The sequence below is a fragment of the Homo sapiens genome, chromosome 18 (genome assembly GCF_000001405.40).
Source record: "Homo sapiens chromosome 18, GRCh38.p14 Primary Assembly".
Taxonomy (NCBI): Eukaryota; Metazoa; Chordata; class Mammalia; order Primates; family Hominidae; genus Homo; species Homo sapiens.
In genome coordinates this window covers 76,943,842-76,960,063 of record NC_000018.10, presented here as the reverse complement: position 1 = coordinate 76,960,063, position 16,222 = coordinate 76,943,842, and the positions used below count along the sequence as shown (strand labels likewise).

At 44.7% G+C, this 16,222-nt stretch overlaps 1 protein-coding gene across 5 annotated transcripts in view; it reads right to left on the bottom strand.

The window, feature by feature from the left end:
- Positions 1 to 16,222, bottom strand: part of ZNF236 (zinc finger protein 236) — a 150,345-nt gene that overhangs the window by 12,838 nt on the left and 121,285 nt on the right. For all 5 annotated transcript variants that reach the window (NM_001306089.2, XM_011526165.4, XM_047437793.1 and 2 more), the window contains 3 exons: positions 12,412 to 12,543; positions 3,882 to 4,079; positions 248 to 377 (listed from right to left, as the gene is read on the bottom strand). In NM_001306089.2, coding sequence (NP_001293018.1) covers positions 248 to 377; positions 3,882 to 4,079; positions 12,412 to 12,543 — 460 coding nt within the window. The remainder of the gene's footprint in view (positions 1 to 247; positions 378 to 3,881; positions 4,080 to 12,411; positions 12,544 to 16,222) is intronic.

Genomic DNA, 16,222 nt, shown 5'->3' with positions numbered 1-16,222 from the left:
CGGCACGGGAGGCTTGCCTGATGCTTCTGTTTCATATGGTCATAATGTAAGCAGCAAAATCTTCCATGTGAAAAGTTAGTTATGACAATAAATAGGTCAAAACTCAGGAGAAATGGAACATGTGGACCTTGCTTTATAAATAAAGCATTCCATCGCTCGTGAATATTGCACAGGTGGAATTATGTTTTCTCACCCATGATGTCTACTTCAAAGAGTAAGGAAACAAAAGCACGTCCTTCCCCGTTACCTGTATGTATGCGGCTGTGGCGCTCCAGCTGGCTTGGTTTGGCAAATGCCTTCTCACAAGTGTCACATTTAAACACTCTTGGCTTCTGGGAGCTCAAAGAGGGGCCGGCCTGGTGTGTCTGCATGTGCTCCTGGGAGACAACACACAGAAACCAAGAAACAAGATCAAAACAGCTTTCGAGACTAGAAACAAGAGGAAGCAAATCACTGCAAAGTTCAAGTCAGTGGCAAGGACAAAATCAAAGGCTAATCTGTGATTTGTGTTCTTAAGGACTTCAATGCATCGGTAGTGACAACAGAGTGACAACACTGGGGCTTCTCGGGGAGACTCCGGTCCCCATCTGAGCTTTACTGCCTGCTAGCTATATGGCTTGGCCACATCTGTGTCCCAAATAGGGGTAGAAATATCTCCTTCATCAGCTTTAACCGAGACCAAGGGCGTCATGCCATGAGCCTAGTGCAGGAGTCCAGGTGAGCTCTCTCCGTTGGCTGTGGGGGATCCTGTCCCCGTTTCACACACGAGTCCACCCATATGTCGTGGCCTGAGGCCACCCATAGGTTGTGGCCTGAGGCCCTGCGGCACCCAGCTGGGACCCGTTCAGTGACTCTCACCCACAAGTCCTCACGGAATGCCCATGATTCTGAAGTGCGTTCTCCCGGTGATACGACAGAGGCTTTTAAAGCCAAGAGGAAACTGTTCCCTTCTCCTGTTGTGATTGGCAACTTGCCAGAGATACTGCATTCACGTGACTGCAAATTTCTCAAAGATCTGATAGCTGCTGCCCTTGCAGGCACCTGAGGATGTGCAATGTGGTTATTTTCCAAAATTGCAGAAGCATAATAATTATCCTAATAGAATCTCAGTCTTTAGAGCTAACCTCTACCCTGTAAGGCAGGAGTCAGGGAAAAGTACACGTTTCCTGTGTGTGTTCCATGTGACCGCCTGTGTTCCAGCTGCGTATGTCGCACTGCTCAAGGCCCAGCACAGTCTGGGAGGTGGGTGTAATGAAAGCAGCAGGGTGGGAAAAACAAACTCGGGAGGTGAGTGGGGGAGCCTTCCCAGCACTGCAGACCAGGCAGAGCCAGGACTGCAGGTGAGGCCTGACCAGTGACACCACCACTCCTGATGACACCAATCACCATCAACAGCTAGAGTGCATTCCTCCCCCACTCCGTCTGGGGTTCCCACCCGGTCTGTGTTGGATGTAACTGCGGTCACACTGAGTGCTAAGCTTCCTGAGGATGGAGCCGCCTGTTTCTGGGACCACCTTCTGTGCATACAGCAGGCACTCACTGTTTGCTAAGCTGAAAGGAGGACAGAGAGTCCACGGGGGAACAGACTGTCCAGTGGGCTGAAAGGAAAGCTTTTATAACCTTGGCTTCTGTTTCTCTGACCTCCAGAGAAATCTCCTGCGGTGGGAACAGTGCACGCAGCTGCCACTCTATGCTGATGACTTTAAAAGAAATACCGACGAGCTGCACTCCTCGAAGGGTGCAGTTAGGCTTACCCTGTGGCAGAGGTTACGTAAACCTAGTTCTCCCTAGAAAGTGCTCTCTGAGACAATGGCAAATGTTCCTCAAGAAAGAATTTCATCATCAAATAAGTTTGCGATCAGCTGTAGTTAATACCGTTCTTACTGCAACACACCTGTCGGCCTGGCTCTGCTACAAGCGACAAGTGAGGTGTGAATTTCTAAGAAGGGGCGGTGTTGTGCCCTGAAGTTGGTGGGGACTCAGCAGAGCCCCCCAACATGGCCGTCAGCTCACTGCACCAGAGGACGCTAATGCAGCCCTGGGGCAGGGAGATTCATCAGAAGGTTTCAAAAGAAAGAATCCTGCTGATAGTTTATTTTGCTGTGCAGAAGCTCTTAAGTTTAACTGGATCCCATTTATCAACTTTGGCTTGTGTTGCAATTGCTTTTGGCGTCTTCGTCATGACATCTTTGCTGTTCCTCTGTCCAGAATGGTATTGTCTAGGTTGTCTTCCAGGGTTTTTAGAGTTGTGGGTTTTACATTTCAGTCTTCAATCCATCTTGAAACAGAAAACCAAATACCACATGTTCTCACTGATAAGTGGGAGCTAAATGGTGAGAACACATGGACCCGTAGAGAGGAGCAAATCACACACACTGGGGCCTCCTTGAGGGAGGAGGGAGAGGAGCAGGAAAAATTATTGGCTACTTAGCTTAGTACCAGGGTGATGAAATAATCTGTACAACAATCCCCTGTGACCTGAGTTTACCTGTATAACAAACCCTGCACATGCACCTCCGAACCTAAAGTGAAAGTAAAAGAAATTTAAAAATGAAAAAGAACCCAAGCAGCCAAGCGACAGGCTCCCTTCAGGACAGAGAGGGAGGACTGAGGGTCTCGGGGCTCACCAGCCCCTGGAGGGACCTGGGAGAGGAGCCACCGCAAGCACCACAGGTGGGGCCCTGGGCTTCCTGGCCCGGACAGGGCCGTCACTGCTGACACCACTGGCCTGCAATACATCCAAAGCCCATGTGCTCTACTCCACACTCCAAAAAAGCCATCCTGGTCACAGGGATCCAAGGATTCCAGTTTCTGGGACAGGAATTCCTCCTTGAGTAGGACTCTCCCTTCTTCTAGTCCTACACTCATTAAAAGACAACAGACACACAAAGGCCAAAAACAATCCCCACCCCCCCAACATACACAGGAACCCCAAGGGTCCAGCCATCTTAGTGCAGCTTTCCTTCCCGGCCAGCGTGGCACGCCTCTGCCCTCTGCGTGGCCTGGCCATGGCTGGTCAGAAATTTCGCAGGCTATCCCTCACTTGGAATTTGTCTGTTTTTCTCATGTTACGGGGTTTTTGGGAAAAGTGCCACTTTCATCCCACACTGCCAAGGACAGAAGCAGTCTTGATGTGTGGGTGCTGATGCTGCCCACGGCCGCTGGGCTGGAGTGGTGCTGGCTAGGCATCCGTGCTGCACGCTCCTCTGTGTTCCACCCCTTCCACACCCCATTCCCTTCACACGGAAGACGGCGCCCTGGGCTGGATATCAGAGCACCCTGCTGGAATTCTGCCTCCTGCCCACTGTAGCACAGCACCCTCTGTGGGGATGTCCCAGAACTCATCCTCTGCTTCCCACATGCGGGCACTCAGGTCTCCACTGTGCAATGATGGCTCTGCTGCAGTGGAAAGCGTGGGCAGCTAAACCTTGGGAGGCTGGAGGGGCATCTTCAGGGCTGGTCCCCAGGGTGAGCACACATGCATTTGTTAGGGCTGCCCAATGCCCCTACAGAAAGTCCAACCAAGTCACAGTCTCACTAGCAATTACGTGAGCGAGCCTCTGTTTCCCCACAGCCTCAACAACAGGTGCTGACAGACTTTTACATTTTTGCCAGTCTGACAAGGGAGAGAGGGCATTTCAATGTTATTTCAGTTTGTCTTGCAAATTGATTGTGAGTTGCAGGTGAACATGCAATTCATCTGTACAGCAAGCAGACCTCTTACAACCGGAACAATACATCTACATCTAGTGACCTTTTCCTCAAAAACCGGCCTTTTCCTCAAAAACACATGCCAGATTCCCGGCCAGTGTTAAATCTTGGACTCCGCATCTCTAGCCGCCTGGGGGGCACACAGCTGTGCCCTGGCACAGTGGGCCTACCTTGAGGTGCGTGGCGCGCTTGAAGGCCTTCCTGCACACGGGGCAGCCGTGGATGCGCTCCCGGCCATGCACCTCCTTGCTGTGGTGCATGAGCACCGCCGCCGATGAGAAGGCGCGGTCACACTCCAGGCACTGGTGCGCCCGGCCCTCCTTCTCTGGCTGGTTGCCCGGGGCCAGGTTCCCAGAGACGCCAGCTACCTGGAAAGAGCCAGAAATTGTGACTTTCCACTCACTTGGCTTGATTTGTGCAGTTTGTGAACTGACACACACCGTGGTGATAAGAGGGACATTCCTAGCACGGACACGCCAAGCCCACACTGCATGTCCTATCATCAGGATAATTTAGCCAGAGGCGCCTTCCACACAATATGAGACCAGAATGCACACTGTGTCCTGCAAGATTGAGACCACACAACAGCAGCTAAGGAATGAGCTCTGGCGCCGCACTGACCAGGTGCAAATTCCAGCTCCAATGTGACTATCCGGGCTACTCTGGGCTAAGTACTTAACCAGTCCGTGGTCGCGTCCTCATGGGAGAACACCTGCCTACCAAGGGCTGCATACGGCAAGCTTTCACTAAATGCTCGCTACTGGTAGTAGCTTTAGATAAACAATTCGTAACAACAAAAAGTGTTTCTAGCTTTTAATGGAATTAAACCATTTTTTCCAAACCGTGGATCACAACCAATTCGGTTTTCAAATCATCTTAATGGGATGCCACCACCACTTGAAAAAATCATTTTTAAAATTTTTGAAAAAATTTTTTGAGATGAAGTCTTGCTCTCTTGCCCAGGCTGGAGTTCAGTGGCACAATCGCAGCTCAGGACAGCCTCAAACTCCTGGGCTCAAGCAATCCTCCCACCCCAGCCCTCCCGCACGCCTGCGTCCACAGGTACGCACCACCTCACCATCATGCCCAGCTAACTTTTTTATTTTTTGTAGAGACAGGGTCTCCCTATGTTGCCTAGGTTGGTCTTAGAACTCCTGAACTCAAAGGATCCTCCTGCCTCAGTCTCCCAAGTGCTGGGATTACAGTGTGAGACACTGTACCTGGCTGACTCAGCTTTTATAAACAACAGATTCCAGTTTTGCAAATTTCTATGTGATGGCTTAACAAAACAATTATAATGAAAATTAATGAGATCTGTCCACATTTTTATTATTCCTAATTTATCAAATACTTTTTCATTAATTCTGGAATATAAGAAATAAGTAAACATTAAAGAAAAATACTTAAACAACAAAAAAGATTTATACAGGGTGCTATATTATTAATCTGTGCTATAATTTAAAAAATGGAATGGGGAAAAAAAGGAACAAAGGAAAAGATCAGAAAAGACATTGCAGCCTCGTGAGATGTGCAGGGACTGGTGTCATTCTAGAATATGACACCTGTGTGTCAGGTGTCTGTCTACACATATCTGTAGGTGTTATTCTATAATATGATACCTGTGTCAGGTGTGTGAGTTTACACGTGAGTATCTGCAGGTGTTATTCTACAATAGGACACCTGTGTCGGGTGTGTGTCTACAGGTGAGTATCTATAGGTGTTATTCTAGAAAATGACACCTGTGTCAGGTGTGTGTCTACATGTGAATATCTGTGAGTGTAAAGAAAAATGACAGAAACACATGCCTGTTGAGGTCACTGCATAAAATATATTCCATGTGAGTCAAAAAAGTCTGAAAAGCACAGGAATAAATGACACTAAAGGCTGGTTGTGTAACTGCAGATAAATGCATGCTGAAGAACATCAACTCAAACAAAAACCTGTAGTTATGGAGCGACCTAATGTCCTCCATCAGTATTACGAAGCATCTACCAGTAGTCATGGCAATGAACACACAGAAAATTGTTTCTGAACCAAACATTTTACTCATGAGATGTGAGAATTCAATATCTGGTCCACATCATTCAAGGAAAGACAAACAAACACACGAAACTTTAAAAACTATTTCTGTAAAATATTTTTCAGCATAATCGCATCAGAAGCAAAGCTTCTGAATTATTGCTACTACTGTGAAACAAATCTCCAATGTTCTGCTGAATTTCATAACTACATATCTAGAGACTGAATTATATTAATAGAATCTTGCTAAAATCATACTTGCCCAAAGGAGAAGGGGAAATCGGTTACAGAATGAGTGTGAGATGATTTTTAAGCCTGAGGCATAAACTTGGCCACAGCTAGAAATAATGTGCTTCCCACAGCAGGTTATTCTGCATGGGGGTGGGAGGGTAGGAGCGTGTATGTCCACCCCCTCCCAAGCATGAGGAGTGTGGCTGTTGGAAAGCAGAAGGAGGAAAGCGGCCTCTCCATCCACCTCCTAATGAGCCCGGAAAGAACGGGCGCGGATCCAACATCCTCTGCGTCCAGCGGCCGGCACTGGCAGGAACTTAAATGTTTGCTGAACTGAAACAAGGTCAATATTTCAAAGAAATGCTGCCCACAACACACACCTGGGCACATGATCACCCTTCTGACCCCAAACCTCCCTCTAAAAACCTGCCCCTTACTAAAAAGTTCCCAGCTGAGACCAGCTGATCTCAAGTAACAGGAAATCCAGGTGTAAATGCTCAGAACGATATTCTTCTATTCAGACATGAAGAGTGAGATAAGACAGATCTGGATTCAAATGCCAGCTCTGTCTCTATTGGCAGGGTGACTTTAAGTTATTCAAAGCTACCCTTAAATGATAGAATCCTTGTGAGTAAAACGGGGCCGTGACACTTAGACACCTCACAGGCTGTGGGAAGGGCTCGGCTACATAAGACCACATGCCTAGTGGGAGCCTGGCCTTAGGCACCTGGCCAGCAAGTGTCGGCTCTTTTCTCCTGCAAAACCAGTTTCAAAAGAAGGCCATGGCCCCTTAAGCAGTGAGTGAAGGAAGAAAGGCAGTTTGCTGCAGCGGCTCCCCTCTGATTTAATAGCTTGAAGTTGCTAACAAAGTTAGGTCAGGTCTCTTGATCCTTATGGGAAGGGTCAGGCAGAAATTAGTTCATTCGTTTTAGTAAAGACAGGCTGAGTAAGGGGGCAGTCTGTCAATGGCTCTCTTAGGATAAAGACGTTTTTCCATTGTGAGTACACATCTTGTCAGATCAGTATGGATTTCTCTTCAGATGAACCATGAAGAAAAGGATTTTTAAAAAGCAAAGGCTGTTGCTCTAGGGACTTCACCAGAGAGCGAAGTGAGCCCCAGGCCGTAGTAGCTGCTCCAACGCCACCAGCAGGGTCCTTACCTGAGTGCTTACTTTGGACCAGGACCTGTGCTCTGTGCCAGGGAACATTACATGCCCAATCTCTGACCACTATGAGGTAGTCCTAACTACACCCCTGTTTGGGGGTTTGGGTTTTGTTTTGTTTTTTTGTTTTCTTTGAAACACCAACTTGCTCTGTTACCCAGGTTGGAGTACAGTGGTGATCATAGCTCACAGCAGTCTCGAACTCCTGGGCTCAAGCAGTCCTCCTGCCTCAGCCTCCCAAAATGCTGGGATTACAGGTGTGAGCTACTGTGCCTGGCCACCTCTGTCTTAAAAACAGGCCATCACACAGATGTAGGATTGCCTGAGGGCTCCTGGCCAGAAAGCATGGGAGCAGGGATGCACAGACATCACCAGAGGCTACAGCCAGCACTCCCAGCCACTCTGTCGTGGGTTCAGATAAACCCAGGGTGCTTCAAATGGTCCCAGCTTCCTCCCAGAAGCACAGGCCAGAGGCAGACCCAGGCATGTGTCTCAAGTCCCTGGTCAGAGCCCAGGTCAGAGCCTGGAAGCGTCAATGTGCATTCCATCTGTGACAAGAAAGCATTAGGATGAAATTAGACCATGATTAAAACCAATTAATGTTGGCAAACAGTGCTACAACCTAACAAGGGAAATTTACAGAAAACATCTAAGAGAATTTCTCTTACTAATTATAGGCATACCTTGTTTTCATTGAACTTTGCTTTTTTTGTCCTCCATAGATATCCTGTCGTTTTTACAAATTGAAAGTTTGTGGCGAGGCTGCTTCGAGCAAGTCTACTGGTGCCATTTTTCCAACGGCACATGCTCAGTTCGTGTGTGTGTCACATTTTGGTAATTCTCGCAATATTTCAAACTTTTTCATTACAGCGTATCTATTACAGTGATCTGTGATTAGCGATCTTTGATGTTACTATTGTAATTGTGTTGAGGCACCACAAACCCCACCCACATAAAATGGCAAACTTAACCTATAAATGTTTGTGTCTGACTGCTTCACCAACTGGCCATCCCACCTCTCCTTGGGCCTCCCTATTCTCTGAGACACAACAATACTAAAATGAGGCCAATTAATGATCCCACAATGCCTGTAAGTGTTCAAGTGAAACGAAGAGTCACACATCCCTCACTTCAAAACCTAGAAATGATTAAGCTTAATGAGGAAGGCACGCAGAGAGCTGAGACAGGCTGAAAGCTCAGCCTCTTGTGTCAAACTATTAGCCAACTTGTGAAATGAAGGAAAGGTTCTTGAAGGAAATTAAAAGTGTTATCCAGTGAGCCCATGAATGATAAGAAAGTGAAACTGCACTGTTGCTGATAAGCAGAAAGTTTTAATGGCCTAGACAGATCAAAACAGCCACAATCCTCGCTTAAGCCAAAGCCTAATCCAGAGCAAGACTCTAACTCTCTTCCATGTTATGAAGGCCGAGAGGTGAGGGAGCTGCAGAAGAAAAGCTGGAAACTAGCAGAGGTCAATCCATGAGAACTAAGGAAAGAAGCCACCCTCCATAACATAGCAGTGCAAGGTGAAGCAGCAAGTGTTGCTGGAGAAGCTGCAGCAAGTTCTCCAGAACATCTAGCCAAGAGCATCGATGAAGGTCACTCCATTAAACAACAGATTTTCAGTGTAAACAGAACAGCTTTATAGTGGAAGAAGATGGCTCTAGGACTTTCATAGCTACAGAAAAGTCAGTGTCTGGCTTCAAAGGACAGGCTGACTCTCTTGTGAGGGGCTAGTGCAGCTAGTGACTTTAAGTTGAAGCCAATGCTCATTTACCATTCCAAAAATCCTAAGGCCCTTAAGAATGATGCTAAATCCATTCTTTCTGTGCTCTACAAATGAAACAATAAAGCCTGAATGACAGCACGTCTGTTTACAGCATGATTTGCTGAATATTTTAAGCCCACTGCTGAGACCTACTGGTCAGAAAAAATGATTCCTTTCAAAATATTCCTGCTCATTGACAATGCACCTGGTCACCCAAGAGCTGTGATGGAGATGTACAAAGAGATGAATGTTGCTTTCATGTCTGCTAACATGACATCCACACTGTAGCCCATGGATGAAGGAGTAATTTCAACTTTCAAGTCTTACTAAGAAATACATCTCATAAGGCTGTAGCCGACATAGATAGTGATTCCTATGATGGATCTGGGCAAAGTAAAGTGAAAATCTGTGGAAAGGATTCACCACTCTATATGCCATTAAGAACATTTGTGATTCATGGGAGGAAGTCAAAATATCAACATTAACAGGAGTTTGGAAGAAGTTGATTCCAGCCCTCATGGATGACTTTGAGAGGTTCAAGACTTCAGCAGAAGAAGTAACTACAGATGTGGAGGAATGGGCAACAGAATTAGAAATGGAGCCTGAAGATGACTGAATTGCTGCAATCTCATGGTATATATAACTCAGCAGATAAGGATCTCATGGTATATATAACTGAGCAGATAAGGATCTCATGGTATATATAACTGAGCAGATAGGGATCTAAAGGTATATATAACTTGAGCAGACAAGGAGTTGCTTCTTATGGATGAGCAAAGAAAGCAGTTACTTGAGACGGAATCTACTCCTGGTGATGATGCGGTGAACATTGTTGAAATTACAACAAAAGATTTAAAAGATTACAGAAACTTAGTAAAGCAGCAGTGGGCTTTGAGAGATGGACTCCAATTTTGAAAGAGGTTCTACTTTGCGTAAAATGCTATCAAACATCATTGCATGCTATGGGGAAATCTTTCATGAAAGGAAGAATCAACGCAGCAAACTTCACTGTTGTCTTATTTTAAGAAATCGTCACGGCCACCCCAAACTTCAACAACCACCACCTTGATCAGTCAGCAGCCATCAACATCAAGGCAAGACCCTCAACCAGCAAAAAGATTACAACTCACTGAAGGCTCAGGTGATCGTTAGCATTTTTAGCAATAAGGTATTTTTAAATTAAGGTATGTACATTTAAAAAAAAAACGTAATGCTGGTCAGGCACAGTGGCTCATGCCTGTAATCCCAGCACTGTGGGAGGCTGAGGTGGGCGATCACTTGAGCTCAGGAGTTTGAGACCAGCCTGGCAACATGGCAAAATCCCATCTCTACTAAAAATACAAAAATTAGCCAGGTGTGGTGGTGCACACCTGTGATTCCAGCTACTTGGGAGGCTGAGGCAGGAGAATCACTTGAACCCAGGAGGCGGAGGTTGCAGTGAGCTGAGATTGCACCACTGCACTCTAGCCTGGGCAACAGAGCAAGACTCTGTCTCAAAAAAAAAAAAAAAGAGAAATAATGCTGCTGAACACTATTATTACAGTATAGTATAAACATCATATGCCCTGGGAAACCAGAAAACTAAATCATAATGTTAATGTATGACTTTGTTGTGATAATCGCTTTATTGCAGTGCTCTAGAACTGAATGCATGTTATCTCTGAGGTATGCCTGTATTCACTCATACAGATTGGTTATCTACCTCATTTTTATATTTAATCTGTCAAATTTTGAAAAAAATTACAAGCTAGACCAAGTTTTAATATTTGGTTTCTCTCATTTCCATCTAATGGAATATGGAAGTTAAAACGGAATATATCACTTCAGTGGAGACATTTCAAACTAATCTTAACATAGGATTACTCTACAAACATTATTCTTCTACCTATATTAAACCAAATGCTAAAATCATAATGTTAAAAAATAGCAAAGTAGTTTCATTTACTAGTCACATAAAATATAGGAATTAGGTAAGGTGTGCCTTGGAACTGATTTAGGAACTCTGAAACATACCAGACTAATAAGGTTTCACTACAAAAGCATCATGAGAAAGAGAGCTTAAAAATATGACCAAGCTGCCAATGCTTTTTCTGTCTCAATGAATGTGTGTGGTCAACAGTTACCTCACCAGGCCTGAGGTGCTCAAACCCTGCACACTCCACAGTGCCCCTGATCAGCTCCCGAGCATCACCCATAAGCCCCTGGAACATCCTGCTATTAGTAGGTAAGAGTGTATTTCATACCCAGAACCTTGGGCAATGCCACATAGTTTGTGCTGATGATGTGACTTATGGTGAAGGCCTGTTTTTGTTTCATCTGGGGACCTGGACCACTGCATCCGTTTGACCTGGAGGGGCAGGGGCCTGGAGACCGCATAGCTAAGCCCAACCACGCGGGCATTCCATGGCCACATGACTGATTGTAAAACAATTCTGGATACCAGAGCTTAGCTGAGCTTCCCAAGTGGGCGACACTTGGCAGGCGGTGTCACACAACTTTCCTGGGAGAATCAGCAGTGTCCGTGTGACCTCACTGGAGCAGACACTGGGAAGCTCGTGCCTGGGTTCTCTGGACTCCACCCCACGTGCCTTTTCCTTCCGCTGGTTCTCACCTGCACCCTTCCATTGTAACCACAAGTATAAACCACAACCACCAGTAGATCAGATTTTTCTGAATCCAGTGAGACCTTGTAGTGAATCGTCAAACCTGAAGGCAGTCTTGGGGACCCCAGACACAAATGTGCTAAAGTTATACAAACTGAAATTCAGTGAGACAGCTCTGGTTACTCAGGTCAAACTGCAGGACATCCCCAGTGCTCGTTATATCTCATCTCTTTGTGAAAAAGCCCTTGTTCTACAGAAAAACCGGTAAGTCATTATTTTGAAAACTCATTTGCTAAAAATGTTTAATGCTTCCTAAATTCAGAGATTATTCATCATCTGTGCTTTAATTCTGACCCTGGAAACTTTTAAGGAAAGAGATTTTAGACTCTTCCATATTTAGACTATTGCTTACTAAATATTTTGGCTCCCAAAAACATGTATTTTAAGAAAAAAGACTAGCCAAATGACAGATCTTGAACACACGCGCGCGCACACACACGTATATGAAAATGTGTATGACACTTAACAGAATCTGCAAAGGTGTTACTAGAAAATCTGCAGAAGAACTAAGTGCAAGTGGCTGGATATGTGAAGTCTGATCAGCAGGCAAATATAATAAGATATTAATAAATTTAAAATTAGATTTACGTATCACTGTGGCTACATCTAATTCTGTGGTATTAAAACCTCACTCCCTAGGAAACAAATCACAAAACGAATGAGATATCGTACCTGTCATTCAACACACGCCCCCGCAGGGCCTATGTCCACTCAGGATTCAGCCGGGGACACCTCAGAAGTCAGCCCCAGCCACCTGGGTCACACAGCACGCCCATAACCCTCTACCACCATCCCTTCTGAATCTGTATGTTTTTAAAAGCGACAAAAGCTCTGTGAATGAAGGAATATCCTGTACCTGGTAGGCTATTTCTTCACAAGCAGCAGACGCTGACTGTGGCGTGTGGCTCACTAGTATGACTTGCGGCGAGCCTGCTCCACCCTGGCCCGAGAGAGAGGGATCCGTGAGGAGCGCTGGGAACTGCTGACCCTGGCAAAAGATTAGTACTATTTCAGAAGTTGTAACTTTAGCAAAACAAGCAATAATTTAAAAGATCTTTTATGGTGCAGCTACCTTGGAAAACAAGCTGGTAGCTCCTCAAAAAGTGAACCGTGGAGTCACCATGTAACCCAGCAACCCAAGAGAAGTGAAAACAGAAGCCTTGTACAGAAATGTCCACAGGAGAATTACCCATAGCCAAAAAATGGAAACAGCCCAAATGCCCATCAACCGATAAATGCACAAATGAAAATGTGGTATAAGGGAATATTGTTCAGTAATAAGAAGGTACAAAGTTCTGGTACATGCTACAGCATGGAGGAGCCTTGGAAATACTCTAAGGAATGAAAAAAGCCAGTCACAAAAGACCACACGGATGATCACATTTCTATGAAATACCCAGAACGGATGCATCTACGGAGACAGAAAGTGGACTGGCAGTTGCCAGGGGCAGCGGTGAGGGTGGGCCGGGGGTCGGGGGAACATGGAGTGATGGCTCATGGCTCCACGTTTCTTTAAGGGGTGATGAAACGTTCTAAAATTAGACCATGGTGATGGTTGTACAACTCTGTAAATACACTGAAAACCATTCAATTGTATACTTTAAATAATTAGGTGAACTTATATAAATTACATCTCAGAGTCTCTACATGTGTGTATATTTAAAAAACACTTATTTGCTTAGAAACACATATACAATTTTGCTATGCTATAGAAAACTACTGTAAGTCTTCTTACCAGCCCAGCACACCTCTAGCTATGAGAGCAGATCTGAGAGAATACGAGAGAATGAGAAAGGTAGGGTGGTATGGGGCACAAGAGCAGAGAGGAAGCTGCAGCTTAAAAGGTCTGAATATCTACTGCAAATTTATAGAAATAATTCAGCATGCAACTTGAACTGCTGTAATCAGCACTGATTCTAAACATATTTTACACACAGTTAAAACCGTGGCTGACCACAGGAAGCATGGCTGATGTTCTTGGCTCCTGTGCTTTAAGGTGAGGGGTGTTTCTCAATGTTTTAGGGAACTACACAAGCTGAGCCCCCAAAAGGAAATTAAGAATTGAGGAGGGGATGCTATATTAGTCCGTTTTCACGCTGCTGATAAAGACATGCCCTTGACTGGGCAATTTACAAAAGAAAGAGGTTTAATTGGACTGACAGTTCCATGTGGCTGGGGAAGCCTCATGATCATGGTGGAAGGCATGAAGGAGCAAATCACATCTTACATGGATGGCAGCAAAGAGAGGAGAGCTTGTGCAGGGAAACTCCCCTTTTTATAACCATCAGATCTCATGAGACTTATTCACTATCATGAGAACAGCAAGGGAAAGACTTGCCCCCATGAATGAATTACCTCCCACCAGGTTTCTCCCACAACACATGGGAATTCAAGATGAGATCTGGGTGGGGACACGGCCAAACTATATCAGACACAGTGGAGGAAAAATAGGACTGAGATGGCATTTTTAAAAACTTCCTCCATCAGAGAATTTTAGGTTCACTTCTTAAGGGAAAGAGTGGCAGGTGGCAAAATAGAAGCCAAAAACATACAGTCATCATCAGGGATTCCAGAGAAAGAGAGCTTCTAACTTGATTTGGGTTCCTTACTTCCCATATGCAGCTTTTTAAAAAAGCAAAATTAGGCTATTTTAGGTATCTCCATATATCAGCCTAATTTTTTACATAAACATGATCTAAATTGAAAAGTTCTTTTTCTTTTTTTGGAGATAAAGTCTTGCGCTGTCACCCAGGCTGGAGTGCAGTGGCTTAATCTCAGCTCACTGCAACCTCTGCCTCCCGGGTTCAAGTGATTCTTGTGCCTCAGCCTCCCAAGTAGCTGGGATTACAGGCATGCGCCACGTGTGGCTAATTTTTGTATTCTCAGTAGAGATGGGGGTTTCACTATGTTCGCCAGGCTAGTCTGGAACTCCTGACCTCAGGAGATCCACCAACCTTGGCCTCCCAAAGTGGTGGGATTACAGGTGTGAGCCACTGCACCTGAAGTTCCTACCTATACTAACAAAGCTTCATGTTCCCTACCTCCCTACATAGAGAAGTTGATTGAATATTGCTATTTTCAAATACCGGTGAATGCTATACTTTTTTGTGACATGTCTGTTGACAGCTGCTGCCACCACCCTTATCAGACTACCCAATTTGAAAAACTGTATTAATCAACCTGGACTTATTAATTCACATTTGTTTTATTAATCAAAGACCAAAAAAACTGCTGGTCAGAAATTCTGATGCACATAAGAACCAATTGGCTCAATAAATTAATATATTCCCAAACTAAAGGTAAGATATTTGAGAGTCTTAGCTTGTATAGGTATATCAAGGGAAAAATTACAACTTCTTGTTGTTTTGAAATAGCAAAATTACAGAAATAAAGAACAGAGTGGCAGATGTCAGGGTTAAGAGGGTCTTGAAGTCATTATAAAAAGCAACATGAGGGGTCCTTGAGATGATGGAAATATTCTGTATCTTGGCTTATCAATGATAACAACTGTTTGTGATATTATACTACAGTTCTGCAACATGCTCCTGTTGGGCAAAACTGGGTAAGTGTATGTGGAATCTCTCTGTACTATTTTTTAAAAATTGCCCATGAGTCTACAATTATCTCAAAATAAAAACTTAAATTAAAAAAACTTGAATACAATGTAATTTATTAGCTTATCATTTGTGTTTCAATTGCAAACCTTAATTAAGTATTCTTTTTTTTTGAGACAGAGTCGTGCTCTGTTACCCAGGCTACAGTGCAATGGCACAATCTCAGCTCACTGCAACCTCCACCTCCTGAGTTCAAGCGATTCTCCTGCCTCAGACTCCCAAGTAGCTGGGATTACAGGCACATGCCACCACACCCAGCTAATTTGTTGTAATTTTAGGAGAGACGGGGTTTCACCGTGTTGGCCAAGCTGGTCTCGATCTCCTGACCTCAGGTGATCCACCCGCCTCGGCCTGCGATTACAGGCATGAGCCACCACACCCCCAGCCAACCTTAAGTATTCTTAATGCAAATACCCTGATTTAAAAATCAGTGTCCAATAAAAGCTATACTCAACGATTAGCTATACTTATGGAAGTGATACACAAATCAGCTAAAACAATATAATCTAAAGGTTATTTACTTTTGGTTTGTATTATTATTTGCAGTTGGTTTCTTTACTATATTTGGTTTACACTGAGGTAAAGATTACAGGAATTTGCATTTCCCTGGAGCACATGAATTTTGCAACATGAGAATGTAACAGCAAGCACCAAGCCCCAGCAGAGAGGAATGGCGCAACAGCTGTTGGCCCTGGCAGCTGGGGCAGCTGCGTCAGAGTCACAGGGAAGGTGGGTAATGAACAGCACAGACGCCAGCCCCACCCATGACTACTGAATTAACTTGGGCCTGCTGAGACCCAGGAATGTCAATGTTCGACTGAATCTGGGAAATGCTGTAAAATATGAGCAAGGGCTGGATACTGATGAAAGGCATTCTATGCAATAACAAACTTCACTATACCATTGTCAAGTACCCATAAATCAACCTCACTTACTGCTCACATGTACAATTTCATTAGAAATATTTTTCTTAGCAGTTCATAATTTTACCGGCCTATACACAACTCTTAATAAACTTAAAACAAAACATTGTGCCTCAATAAAAATGTCAAG